General features: G+C 40.3%; 1 protein-coding gene across 3 annotated transcripts; it reads left to right on the top strand.

Moving 5' to 3' along the window:
- Window positions 304-9834, top strand: UCP1 (uncoupling protein 1). 3 transcript variants are annotated; one of them, NM_001440546.1, is made up of 6 exons: window positions 304-661; window positions 1288-1486; window positions 5750-5947; window positions 6054-6155; window positions 6892-7072; window positions 9255-9834. In NM_001440546.1, exons 1-6 carry the CDS (start codon window positions 536-538, stop codon window positions 9367-9369), a joined length of 921 nt encoding a protein of 306 aa, NP_001427475.1. In that variant the 5' UTR covers window positions 304-535; the 3' UTR covers window positions 9370-9834. The 3 variants fall into 3 exon arrangements, with proteins under 3 accessions (NP_001427475.1, NP_068605.1, XP_011530530.1); NM_021833.5 differs by having other exon boundaries at window positions 5747-5947; XM_011532228.3 differs by lacking the exon at window positions 9255-9834 and adding an exon at window positions 8521-9194 and having other exon boundaries at window positions 5747-5947.

The raw sequence follows: 14649 nt of genomic DNA, 5'->3' as shown, positions 1-14649 counted from the left end.
GCCGAAGGTGTGCAGCCAAAGGGTGACAGAAGGTGAGGCACGTGCGGGGGCGCGGGTGCTGACCGCCGCGGTGCGCCCTCCCTCCGACGTGCGGTGTGCGGGGCGCAGACAACCAGCGGCCGGCCCAGGGCTTTCGGGGAGCGAAGCAGGGCTCCCGAGGCACCGAGCGAGAATGGGAATGGGAGGGACCCGGTGCTCCCGGACACGCCCCCGGCAGGTCCCACGCCCGGGTCTTCTGAGACCTCGCGCGGCCCAGCCCGGGAGCGGCCCAGCTATATAAGTCCCAGCGGAAGACCGGAACGCAGAGGGTCCTGCTGGCGCGAGGGTGGGTAGGAGGGGACGCGGGGACTCGGCCCCCAACACCGCGCTCCGTCTGCAGCCGCCGCCTCTGCACCGCCGCTGCCCGGCGGTCGGTTCAAAAAACAGAAATCGGGTTTGCTGCCCGGCGGACAGGCGTGAAGAGCAAGGGAAAGGAACTTCCTCCACCTTCGGGGCTGGAGCCCTTTTCCTCTGCATCTCCAGTCTCTGAGTGAAGATGGGGGGCCTGACAGCCTCGGACGTACACCCGACCCTGGGGGTCCAGCTCTTCTCAGCTGGAATAGCGGCGTGCTTGGCGGACGTGATCACCTTCCCGCTGGACACGGCCAAAGTCCGGCTCCAGGTAGCTAGGCAGAGGGGTAAGACAAGGGGTCTCAGGACAGAGGGGACGCTGTTGCGTGCATTCCATTTATTCTCTGCTTTGGTGTAACCACTGTTTCTAGGTAGGGTAGGTGACCTTCCAAAGCAGTCTGGCCTTGTCCCAGGGCTGGTGCTTTAGGATGGGAAACTGGAACTTTTTCTGGGATTAGCTGAAGAACCACCAGGGCCACAGAGAATGGGTTGACCATGACTACTACCAAATTCTCCCAAAATTTAGGGTGCACTTAGTATTTTAAGAGCTGAGAATATTGGCCTCTCCTGAGTTTACTAGTCAGGTGCTTTTTCCTTTCTTTGATTCTTCGGGGGTTCTGTCCTATCCTACTGCCCTAGGGGTTCTGGAGAGTTCCTGGGGAGGGGGATATTCAAAATGTGCATTGTAGCCAGCCTCCCTCCATCTGCGCGTGAGCGAACACACACACACACACACACACACACACACACACACACACACACACACGGTAGAGGGAGGTGGATGGAAGAGGAATGTTGCTGAGAAAAGAAACGGAAAATAGGAACACAGGGGGAAATCTTGGCTTAAGAGTGAACTCAATTTCGCTCCCTTCTGTTCTGCACCTTTCTTATTTCCAGGTCCAAGGTGAATGCCCGACGTCCAGTGTTATTAGGTATAAAGGTGTCCTGGGAACAATCACCGCTGTGGTAAAAACAGAAGGGCGGATGAAACTCTACAGCGGGCTGCCTGCGGGGCTTCAGCGGCAAATCAGCTCCGCCTCTCTCAGGATCGGCCTCTACGACACGGTCCAGGAGTTCCTCACCGCAGGGAAAGAAAGTAAGCCGTGAGCGTTCCTGGGAGGGGCAGAAAAGCCTTGGGCTCCGCTCTGTTCCAAAAAGTGTAACACACAGAGGAGTGGTTTTCATAACAAATTGGCGAGAAAACATTCATATTTGAACTCTCCCTTCCCCAAACATTAGCTCATTGTTCATAGAAAAAAGTATGCAAAATCGATTTTTTAGATGCAGATATATACTTGTAAAGGTCACCCAGTCATGGAAGTTTTGTGCCCAGTTTGGATCTCCATCTGGAGAATATGGGTGGGCTACAGAAAAATGTTTAACTTAAAGTTCTCCAAAGAGGGAAGTATATCAGAAACATCTATGGAGCTTGTCAGAAATCCAAACGAGGACTACCATGGTCCTCTGAGTCTGAATCCTCAGGCTAGAGACCAGAGTGTCTTTCCACAAGCTTCCCTCATCATTTGTGTATGCAACAAAGTTCAAAGCCTTCTGTTTGAAGCAAAGAAAGCCAGACTTTGTGAAGAGAGTTGAAAGGACAGGAAAAGACATATTTCCTCTTAAGAGGTTCCTCATCAGGTCCAGGAAAGACCAGAGCAGAAAAAGTGGACGAATGCTGCAGGGAGTTTGTTTAGGGGAAAAAGAAAAGGAAACATATTTCCTGAGTGCCAGTGCACTCTAAGAATTCCTGTCACTTTAGGTAGCATTTATTTGAGGGCTTAACTATGAACCAGACATTGTTCTAAGTGCTTCAGATACATTATAACTGGAAGGGTATTAGTACCATTATCCCTTGGCAGATGGGAAAACTGAACACAGAGCAGATTCATCACTTGCCCAAGGTCACACAGCTGGGAGGGGGCAGAGCCAGGGTTCAAACCCAGGCAGTCTGGCCTCGGACTCCAGGCTCCTAACCCTGTTCTCTACTGCCTTCTGCACTTCTCATATGATTCTGCCCATCATTCAAACCGCACAACACTGCTGTGAGTAAAAAGTGTTAGCCGAATATCAGGGTAGTTAAGTAACATGCACAAAATCACACAGCTAATCAACATCAGAGGCACTTTCATGTGGAGTAGACAAGCCAGAGAGAAGATGTGCTGATGGCACAATGAATACATTAAGTGAAATCCACCTTGTAGATTTCATCATTTCTGCTGTGAGTAACCTTCAATACTATAATTTTATGGGATAATTTATAAATGTTGTCTATACAAATATATAAGTTATACTTATCCACACAAGTACTTTCAAAGTGAAGATAAAGTCTGGATGTTACTAGATCAAAACTGCATTTTTTTATTTATAGATGTAGCAAGAGAGGAAACACAAAGGAGGTAAAGCTGCCCGTTCAGGTGGTTTTCTTCACAGATTGACTGTTCTACCAATTGTTGTGGACTTTGGGCACCAAATTAATAGGATATATGTTGGCAGTGTTCTATGTTATATAGATTCAGTTTATTTAGTAGGCTTTATTGAACTGCCATGTGCCAGTAACTATGTTAGATGTTTAGATGGCAGATGTGTCTCTAGACAGAGCTTACAGTTGAGAGTATGGGTTGTGTGGGGAGAAGTGAATAGATGACTATATTCCATGATACATGCTGTATTACAATACAGTCCTACTTCACTTAACGATGGGGATACATTCTCAGAAATGAGTTAGGAGGCAAATTGGTTGTTGAATGAACATCACAGAGAGCACTTACACAAACCTAGATGGCATAGCCACACCTAGGCTATATGGTATAATCTATTGCTCCTAGGCTACAAACCTGTGCAGCATGTTGGTATTGAATACTACAGGCAATTGTTACATAAAGTTAAGTGTTTGTGTACCTAAAAATAGAAAAGGTAATGCATTACACTACAGTCTTATGGGGCTGGGATGTCACTAGGTGATAGGAATTTTTCAGCTCTGTTCTAATCTTACGGGACCACCATCATGTATGCAGCACATGACTAACTGTAATTACAAGATGGTGGCTATATTAAACAGAACTACTTAAGCTAGCCATGGAGGTATGGTCCGTGAGATTTTCCTGAAGAATTAACGTCTGGATCAATTCTGGAAGGGCCAGCAGGAGTACTCCAGGCAAAGGGGTGAGAAAGGAGCTTCCAAGTAGAGTGAAGGTCATGTGCAAAGACTCAGTGAGGAGTCGAGTGAACATAGCACAGGGAGGACATGTTGGTGAGGAAGGAGGGGTGAAGCCACAGAGACAGGAGGGAGCCAGATGACAGAAGGCCTTGCAGGCGGTGCTAAGGAGTTTGGATTTTATCCTTACAGTGGTGGGAAGTCATTGTAAAAATATTAAGCAAGGGAGTGGCATAAACAATTTACATTTTCAAAAGATCACTTTGGCAGCAGATAGAGTATATATGTAAAAGGAGTAAGAAAGAGGTAAGTTAGAAAGCAAGAAATGATCAGGGTATGCCCTAAAACACTGGCAATAGGGAAAAAGAGATGTCAATCAGAAAGATTGAGAAAGTATAATTGAATTGACTTGGTGAACAAATAGAAGTAAGGCATAAGGGACAGGTAGAAATATGAGATGACTTCCAAGTTTCTGTTTAAAGATACCCTTTATTGAGAGAGGATGTATAGAAGCTGTCTTAGGGGGAAGACAAGAAATTTGGTTTAGGCCATGTCAACAGGTAATGGCCAGTAGGCACATGATTCAGTTTATTTAGTGGGCTCCTTTTAGGAGAAAATCTGAGCCAGATTCCAGGAAGTCACAGCAGGGACTACCAATAGGGTCAAACAGCAGAGAGTGTGGAAAGGACTGAAAAGTGATCATTGTACATAACAAATAGAAGCTCACTGATTTTCTAGCAAAAACATCTTCAGCAGAGTAGCGTGGTATAAGCTATATTGTAGGGGACTGAGGAAGAAATGGGCTCTGAGAAGTAAAGACAAACAATATGTTTTGTAAATAAATTTCTTTTAGTTCTTAAAAAAAAAGCCTCTTTTCCAGCTTGATTGGGAAGTGAAGAGAGGGATTTGAAAGTTGGAGATTGGAGGATAGGATGAGTACATCAAGATACACTACGTTGTAGTGCAGTGCATTACAAATGTGAGCTAAAAGTGAAGGCATTTGTAATCATATGATATTGCTAATTAAAAGACAGCTGTCAGTCATATGCCCAGCTCCTGGTAAAGCATGATGAGAAGAGTACAATCATGGTAGTGATTTAAAAATTGCTGCCAGTTTTGTGGATTTTCTTTATGCTAGACAGTGTAAGCTCTTTATCAATATTATTTAACTCACACAACTCTAAGAGGTAGATATTATTATCCCTTTTTGACAAATTAGGAAACAGAATTATAATGACTGAGAAAGTCTCTGCTGAGTAAATGTTACTGAACCTTAATTTTATGTTTACTTAATGATAGAAATGAATATTGGGCTTCAAGACTATTTGTACTTAATGAAATCTGTCTTGAGCAACATAAGCTATTTTTTTCAAAATTTTAAGACAAAAATCACTTTCTTCTCTCCTGTCTTCTTATTTTTGTTCCCTTCACATGTTGTAGCCTAACACTACTTGATGGCCCATTTTGGTGCAGTTTGTCCACTGGGCTTCATCTAAGGCCACCAAGTCCCATAATTAACATGATCATTCGTGGGAGAAAGATCAAGCCTCATTGGTGATGGGTGCCTCCTCACAGTCGGATAATACTGAAAAGAGAGCTAAATGTGGGAAAGAACCAAGTTGAACACAGGAAAGAATCAGGCCACTGTGAAAATAAGCATTGTGTTTTCTTGTTCCTTGAAAGTCTTCATTTTTAAAAAATTTCAGACACCTGAAGTTTTCTAGCCTTACTCTGAGTTGACGCACATTTAGTACATGATCAACACATAAACAAGCATTAGAGAAATAGAAAAGCTGTAAGAATACAAAAATATGGGCCAGGTGGGTGGCTCATACCTGTAATCCTAGCACTTTGGGAGGCCGAGGCAGACGGATCACCTGAGGTCAGGAGTTCAAGACTAGCCTGGCCAATATAGTGAAACCCTGTCTCTACTAAAAATACAAAACTTAGCAGGCTGTGGTGGCACGTGCCTATAATCCCAGCTACTTGGGAGGCTGAGGCAGGAGAATCTCTTGAACCCGGGAGGCGGAGATTGCAGTGAGCCAAGATCACACCACTGCACTCTAGCCTAGATAACAGAGCAAGACTCCATCTCAAAAAAAAAAAAAATACAAAAATATGAACCACTGAAAATTAAAAAGACATGCATGCATTCTAGGTCTTTAATTTTTTTTCTTAATAATTTTTTTTCTCTCTGGATAGCAGCACCTAGTTTAGGAAGCAAGATTTTAGCTGGTCTAACGACTGGAGGAGTGGCAGTATTCATTGGGCAACCCACAGAGGTCGTGAAAGTCAGACTTCAAGCACAGAGCCATCTCCACGGAATCAAACCTCGCTACACGGGGACTTATAATGCGTACAGAATAATAGCAACAACCGAAGGCTTGACGGGTCTTTGGAAAGGTAACTAACTTCAAAATGGGTTTTATAACCACCAAAGCACATACATACAACTAGCAACTTATTGTAAAGTAGAGTTAATAAACATTTTCTTTTTTTTTTTCCCCAGGGACTACTCCCAATCTGATGAGAAGTGTCATCATCAATTGTACAGAGCTAGTAACATATGATCTAATGAAGGAGGCCTTTGTGAAAAACAACATATTAGCAGGTAACTTCCCATTTCATATAACAAACAGGTCTGCACCTTTAGAAGTTCATCTTGGAGCTTCTGCAGCCACCTTATACTCAATCTCTTAACTCCAATAGTTTTCTCTTTTTAAAAATTAAGTAATTTTGAACCATATATAACTTTGTGAGAAGCAGGAAAAGACCAAAATATTAAGTTTAAGAAGTTTTGCCACAACAAAAATATTTTGCAACAAAAATAACAGGCAATTTCATGTCAGCATTATTCTCATTTAATACTAATATATGGGACTTTTGTTAGAATCTTATTCTTTATACAGCAGAATTCAGGAGGTAAGTCCATCCTGCATACTATATCCAAAAGATCTAGTTATAAAAGGAGCTTATCAGTGGTCTCATCCAAAAAGTAATACCATAAGATAGGTTCTTAAAAATAATATTCTAACAACTTCTAGAGACATTGAAATTTCCCTTATTTCAATAAAAAAGTATTAGATGCTCATATATTAGGCATTATTACAGGCCTTAAAGGCACAGAGGAAACTAACAGTTTACTTTCCTAAAGTGTTAACAATCTATTAAGCCATTTACTCTTTACCTTCTTTTTCTAGTGCAATACCTTTCTTATTTTATTTTATTTATTTATAAGACATCTTCATTGACCTACTGTTATCAATAGGTTTATAAAGATATGACAGATAACTAAATTGCAAGCCCCCAAAAGTCTGATGTTGACCTGTTTCATCGATCCATTTTAGATGACGTCCCCTGCCACTTGGTGTCGGCTCTTATCGCTGGATTTTGCGCAACAGCTATGTCCTCCCCGGTGGATGTAGTAAAAACCAGATTTATTAATTCTCCACCAGGACAGTACAAAAGTGTGCCCAACTGTGCAATGAAAGTGTTCACTAACGAAGGACCAACGGCTTTCTTCAAGGGGTAAGATATGATCTTGTGTATCTGTAATGTGTTCTGGCTGTCTGTGTGCTTTGGGACACTCTCATGTCAAGCAACCGACATTTAGCTTACAAGCCTTAGTATATTCATATACTTAGTATTGACTTTTCCTTGCCACAGATTTCTCCAATCCACCAATTCCACTGTGCCAGAAAGTAAAAAGCCATGATATTCAAATTTTCTCAACTTTGATCAAAGGCTCATTCAAGACCAGTGCCTTTTCCACTGGTCCCAATCTACTGGAAATGCAGACAGTATTTTGCCTTCTCTGGGCAAGAAAGTTATAAAGTAGAGGGAAATCATAATAGAGAGCTATGAGAGAACAAGATTTGATTTGATTTAATTTGATGGACTCAAGTTTTAACATTGTAAAACTAGAGATAAGACATCACCACCAATCTAGAAAAGTGATGCAGAAAAGTATTTGATTTGGGTAATTATTACACTCACCTAGAAACAAGTGTTGTGTAATAGATTACATATTTCCATAATGCAATGTTGTATCAGAAACTACCTTCCTAAGAAAATATAGTATGGGCTCGGCGTGGTGGCTCGCACCTGTAATCCCAGCACTTTGGGAGATGGAGGCAGGAGGATCACTTGAGCCCAGACTGGGCAACAAAGCGAGACCCTGTCTCAACAAAAAATTTAAAAATTAGCTGAGTGTGGTGGCACGCACTGATGGTCCCCTCTACTTGGGAAGCTGAGGCAAGAGGATCTCCTGAGCCCAGGAGTTCAAGGTTTCAGCGAGCTATGATTGTGCCACTGCACTCCAGCCTGGGAGACAGAGCAAGTCCCTGTCTCAAAAAAGAAGAAGGAGAAGGAGGAGAAAATACAGTATTAAGTAATCTGTCAATATATTCCACAAGGATTACACTAGTGGTTTAATAATAAAATTATATTACCTTTTTAAATTGTAAGGCCATTCCTCAAGCTTTATAAATTAAGCATGAATGCATCATACACATTTTATAAAAAGTTCCAACTCATCATAATCTGTACTTATGATACATTAATACAAATGAAGTTCATTATAAAATTAACTTAAAATGGATATACCAGTTATTAAACCATTAACCATTTAATAATTTTATTTTTTTCAAATTTAAAAACCTTTTGGGGAAGAAATACTACAACATGGATGAACCTTGAAAACGTTATGCTAAGTGAAATAAGCCAGACACAAAAGGACAAATACTGTATGATTACACTTAAATGAGGTACCTAGAGTAGTCAAATTCATAGAGACAGAAAGAATAGAAGTTACCAGGGGCTGGAGGTAGGAAAAAATGGAGAGCTGTTTAATGGGTAGAGAGTTTCTTTTTGGGGTGACAAAAAGGTTCTAGAGATGGATAGTGGTGATGGTTACACACAATGTGTGTGTACTTAATGCTACTGAAATGTAATTTTATGATTTTTTTTTTTTGCAGCAAAATACCCCACATTGGGAAGTGAAGAGAAACATGTTAAGAGACTTGAAGGAAAAAAATTGGGGCAGAGGGGTGTTTTTTATAGGTTAAACAATAAAAGCCATTTAAACAGTAACAATTTCTCTAAGGACAAGAATCGTCAAGATTGAGACAGCACTGATTTCTTGACTCTACTCAATACTTCTTTGGTTTCTCTTCTTCCTTCCCCCTTCTAATAGTTTCCTACCTCCCATTCAGAAAGCAAAGCAAAACAAGCAAAAATTCCCCCTTCCCTCAAAAAAGGAAAGAGTTTTTGAAAAAGTTCATGTCAGTGAAGAAAAGACATGTTTTGGGAGTGAAGGATATTTGTGGATTTGTATAGATGTGATCATCAGGGCTGTGTTGTTTTGAAGTAATATAGGACATCTAGAGGAAAATTTATTTTCAGCAGAGGAGGGAAAGATGAAGAGTAGGTACTTTTAAGCATCTTCACTTGAGGAGTGGCAAAATGAGAAGCATAACCTGCTATAATCACTTTAAGAATTTCAGGCTGAGTGTGGTGGTGCAGTCTCTAGTCCCAGTTACTCCAGGAGGCTCAGGTGGGAGGATCACTTAAGCCCAGGAGCTCGAGGTTGCAGTGAGCTATGATTACACTACTGCATTCCAGCCTGGGCGGCAGGGTGAAGCCTCATCTCAAAAATTAAAAAAAAAAAAAATCAAACAAATTAATCGAACGATGACATGCACTTTTCTAGGTTGGTACCTTCCTTCTTGCGACTTGGATCCTGGAACGTCATTATGTTTGTGTGCTTTGAACAACTGAAACGAGAACTGTCAAAGTCAAGGCAGACTATGGACTGTGCCACATAATCAGCTTCAAGAAAATGATGTAACATACCAGTGGGAATCTTGCTGACTGGATCATAAAAACAAACAAAACTTATTCACTTATTTTAACCTAAAAAGATAAAGGAATTTTGGCAGAGAATTTTGGACTTTTTTATATAAAAAAGAGGAAAATTAATGCCTATTTCATATAACTTTTTTTTTTTCTCAGTGTCTTAAGAAGGGGAAAGCAAAACATTCAGCATATACCCTGGCAAATGTAATGCAGATAAGCTACTGCATTTGACCATTTCTGGAGTGCAATTGTGTGAATGAATGTGAAGAACTTTAACATGTTTTAATTACAATTCCAACTGGTGGAAAAGAAACTGAGTGAAATGCAGTTTATATTTATAAATACTTAAAAATGAAGTTATTAAAAATATTAGTTTTTATTAACCACAGTTGTCAGTTAATATATTCAATAAAGTATTGCTAATACCTTTTAAAGTTTGTCTTTTGAGATCTATACCTGGGTGTAAGAGTCAAGTTCACTAGAATACAAGACTGCCCAATAGCAAATGCAGGTCTTTAGAATCATAGGCATGAACCTACTCTGAATGTTATTAGTATAGATTTTTAATGTTTAGAGTCCAGATTTGATGACATCTCTAACAACTTCTAATCTAAGACACTATATTCATTTTGGCAGGATTGCTACTAGAGTCTTGGTATCTGTGCTAGCATCACATAATTTTAGAGCTGGAGGGTACTTCTGGGAAGACAGAGGAACAGTTTGAGATTCCTACTGAGATGAAAACGAATCTTCATGGAATCTTTCAGCAAAGCCAAATTCAAATTCATCATTAGCACCTGTAGTAACCTTTTCAATGCCTACAAACTGCATGCAGAAGAGATAGGGAAACAGTAAAACAGATATTAAAAGAAGTTTTTAAGACAAAGCCCAGCCTGATTTTAAGCTAAATCCAAGGATTGGCAGCTTGGATGAGCAGGAAGGTTACAGGCTGCCAGACATCATTCTAGTTCTGTTTTAATCAACTCCATGTTACATTTACTATCAGGGATTCTCACCTCACCCTCATGCATGTCTTCCCCATTCATTACCCGCAAAAGTGTCTTGTAGCAGATGTCTTCTGTGTCCCATACATACCATTTTGCTCTTTAGTGCTTGCTGGCCTGACTTCCTATTGTCATGTCAGCATCTGCCCTTTTTAGGGTCTCTGGCCACCAGAGCCAGCTTTACTCACCTGTGCATGGCATTCTAGAAGAGCAGCAGGGAAAATAACACAGCCCCAGTGCAGCCCTTAACCACCAATAACTGGTAGTAGTTGGTGTACAAATATCTCAGTTCCCTCAACTGTCAGGTGGAATACCGCTGAGGGATCAAACTCTAGTAACACACAGTAGTGTTTTGCTTACTATGGTTAACTAAAAAATCACAGGGTCTTCATGCATTTGGAAAGGATACTTTATTTCTTACAAAGGGTTACAGCCTACAAGGTGGTCATTCTGCAGGCTAGAAAGCGTAACCTCCAGCAAAGACCGGAGGCAGGCACTTCTAGGGAAGGAAGAGTAAGACAGAAATTTAAATTGAATGGGTTGGCCAAGTATACATATTCAACAGGCTACAGGTGGATTCATGAATATTCATGAAGGCAGTCCTGATGCATGCATGTTACACCTTGGGGTGGAGGCTTAACATTTAAATGTATTACAGTTAGGCCCTATACATGAAAAGGTGAAGCAGTAACACGAAGGCACACAATGCACCATTTCTGTAAACAGGCCAGAGCCAGTTCACAGTGGTTGGTCTCTTATCATGAGAAAGCTACTAAAATCCTCTTGTCCAGTTAAAACTGTAGTTATGGCTGGTGGAAAATGGGCTGGAGTCAGTCAACACTTGGTGAAGCTGCAGTTGCTTCAGACACTCAAGGCCAGTGTTTGTTTAGCTGCTCGAGAAAAAGAAAAATCTTGTGGCAGTTAGAACATAGTTTATTCTTTAAGTGTAGGAGTGTGTGACTTAATCCTGCCTGGCATGTCCTTAGATCCTGTTTATAATTTGGCATCTTATAGCTCACAAGTGATATGAATGTGTACACAGAAAATCCAAAAGAATTGGCATACATAATAAGAGTTTGGCAAAGTGGCTAATAAAATCAATATTTAAAAGACTAGATACCTAGATTTCTACATACCAGCAAAAGGAAGTTAGAAAATAAAGCTGTAAAAATGTGTAACAGCATTTTAAAATAGTACCTGGGAATAAATATAACAAAAGATGTGTCATATCACTATGGAGAAGACTACATTGCTACAAAGAATATTGCCACAAAGTGTCTGTTCCATCAGTCTGTGATCTCTATTTTAACATTCATGCTGGTCAGTTGCGTCTAAGCCATCCAACGGAGGGAGTATAACAAAGCATGTCTGACCTTCCATTCTATCATGGCCAGGAATTCAGTTTTGAGGGTTTCTCTGGGGTCCCCTTGACCAAGAGGAGGTCCTTTAGTCAGTGGGAAGCTTTAGGATTTTATTTTTAGTTTACAACGTTTGTGGGCTGACTTCTATTCCCTGTCTCAGTTCCCTACTCCTTTACCAGTGTTTCCTGGGATCACCTCCCAAATGAATTGCAAATCCTTTCCTCACGGTCTGATTCACAGAGAATTCAAACTAGGACAAATCACAACCTTCAAATAGCATGTTTCTTTCAAGAATAAGGAAGAAAACATATAACTTTATTTCTTTGCATGGGACCCTGGTCAGGCAACGGGCAGTTGCAAATGGAGGGAAGCAAGTTGGCCAATTCCTGGTACAGAGAAATGTCAGTCATCAGAAGATATTTGAGGATCTGCTATGCTCTAGACACTGTGCATACTACACAGTGGTACATAAAGCAAGCATAGGCTCTGCCCCCATACAGAAGGAAATATAAGGGAATCAATCTGGTATCAGATGGTACCTGGGGATTTACCAAGTGCTTTGATAACAGCCTAAGTGAGCTCATCTGATAGGGACACAACTGTCGGGGGAAAGCCCCTACAGGCCTAAGAATCACCACAAAGTTTTTCTTTTTCATGCAAAGTAAGTGGCAATAACCACAATCTGTTCCTTGTTTAACAAGGCAAGCCGTTACTTGAAACAAGGTAAGATATAAAGTCTACAAATCATTCTTGCTTCTTTTTGTCTTCATTTGTTAAAATTGGAAAATTTTCATTGTGGAATATAACCCACATACATGAAAGTGCATAAAGCAAATGAATATTTTAATGTATTATTACAAAGTGAACTAACAGGTAACCAAAGTGGAGCTCAAGAAACAGAAAATTGCAAGCACTGCAGAACCACCTCCACCCACGGGATCACAACTTGAGACCATCTTAACTTCGCTTTCATGGTAAATGGTTTTCCGCGTGTTTTTATATGGATTCACTATTTAAGTATACATCCCTAAATTATATGGCTTGTCTATTTTTAAACTTCATATAAATGGAATCATCCAGTATGTTTTATGTGTGCATCTTTTGACCAATATTACAAATTTAGAATTCACACAACAGTAGGCTAGTTAGGCAGCTGTGCTAATCTTAGCTGAATTCAGTTGGCCTTTAAATTCAGGCCATGGGTTTTTGACCAGTTCTGATCAACTCCATGTGGCTCTGATTCATCTGGTACCCATGGACAAACTGAGGCATGCTCTTTTTCATGGTGATGGCAGAGGCGCAAGAATAAGCCCAATTGCTCAAACCTATTTCAAGCCTTTGCTTATGTCCACTAACATTCCATTGATCTTGGCAAGTCACATGGTCAAGCCTAACATCAAGGAGCAAGGAAATGCACTCGTTATTGGGAAACGGAGAGGACTGAATATTTGCTGAATAAATCCAAACTGGCACAGCACATCTATTCAACATGGTACTAGAAGTCCTAGCTAGTGCAGTAAGACAAATAAATGGATGGAAAGAAATAAAAGTTACTGCTCACGAGTGATATGAATGTAGACACGGAAAATCCAAAAGAATTGGCATATATGAGTTTGGCAACGTGGCTAATAAAACCAATATTAAAAAGTCTATATACCTATATTTCTATATACCAGCAAAAGGAAGTTAGAAAATAAAGCTGTAAAAATGTATTATATAAAAGCATTTTAGGCCGGGTGTGGTGGCTCATGCCTGTAATCCCAGCACTTTGGGAGACGGAGGCAGGTGGATCACCTGACGTCAGGAGTTCGAGACCAGCCTGGCCAACATGGTGAAAACCTGTCTCTACTAAAAATACAAAAATTTTAGCTGCTCATGGTGGCGGGCACCTGTAATCCGAGTTATTCGGGAGGCTGAGGCAGGAGAATCACTTGAACCCAGGAGGCAGAGGTTACAGTGAGCCGAGATGGCGCCATTGCACTCCAGCCTGGGTGACAGAGCAAGACTCTGTCTCAAAAAAAAAAAGCATTTTAAAATAGTACCTGGGAATAAGTATAACAAAAGATGTGTGGTATCACTATGAAGGCTATAATTCTATTGAAATATTTTTTAAAACTATATAGGTATATAACATACTCTCAGATTGGAAAAAACTGTTTTCACATTTATCTTACAGATTTAATGCAATCTATAGAGTCAAAGCATTTATTTTTCTCATTAATGGTCTGTCCCTAGAGGGAAATGATCTGCATCAAACTGCTCCATAGGTCTCCAGTCTTTCTAAATTTGATTCCAATGTTTTACTGTTAAGTGTATTTGTTGTAGTTTATAAGGATATACTTTATAAAATTAATCACTATTTCTCATTTACTATTTTTTAAACATAAGTGGTGAATTTTTATCAAATGTTTTTTCTGCATCTAAGACCATCATGATTTTCAAATGTTAATATGAAAAATTACTTAGTTTTATTCTGGTGATCAACTGAACTGAGCCATAATTGATCACATATTAAAGCAATATATCTATATATGCAGGTCATTAATATATTTAGTAAGCTTCCAGATTCAGTATGCTAACATTTTGTTTATAATTATTGCATCTAAAGTGACATTGGCATACAATTTTTTTTCACACTGTTCTTGTTGAGTTTTAGTCATCAAGGTTATGATAGTCTCATGAATTGCAGTCTACACTCTATCATTTGCAAGAGTTTGTGAAAAGCGATTTTACTCCTTAGTGTGTCATTCAGCTCACTGATGCAAGCCATATAGAACTGCAGTTTTTAGTGGAAAGGGTTTGAATTGCTAATTCAGTTTAATAGGGCTAGGACTTTCCCCCTTCCTTGTACAGTTTTGGTAAGCTGTATTTTTCTAGAAATTTT

This window comes from Homo sapiens, chromosome 4, assembly GCF_000001405.40.
Source record: "Homo sapiens chromosome 4, GRCh38.p14 Primary Assembly".
NCBI lineage: Eukaryota > Metazoa > Chordata > Mammalia > Primates > Hominidae > Homo > Homo sapiens.
Note: the sequence above shows the minus strand (reverse complement) of the source record. Positions and strands in the feature narration are given on the sequence as shown.

What these genes read in the sequence shown, in the direction of transcription:
- UCP1 (NM_021833.5), top strand. Translation starts at nt 536, where the DNA reads ATGGGGGGCCTGACAGCCTCGGACGTACACCCGACCCTGGGGGTCCAG. An exon ending in CGGCCAAAGTCCGGCTCCAG is followed by an intron (nt 662 to 1,287) that starts GTAGCTAGGCAG and finishes TCTTATTTCCAG; the next exon opens with GTCCAAGGTGAATGCCCGAC. An exon ending in GAAAAACAACATATTAGCAG is followed by an intron (nt 6,156 to 6,891) that starts GTAACTTCCCAT and finishes GATCCATTTTAG; the next exon opens with ATGACGTCCCCTGCCACTTG.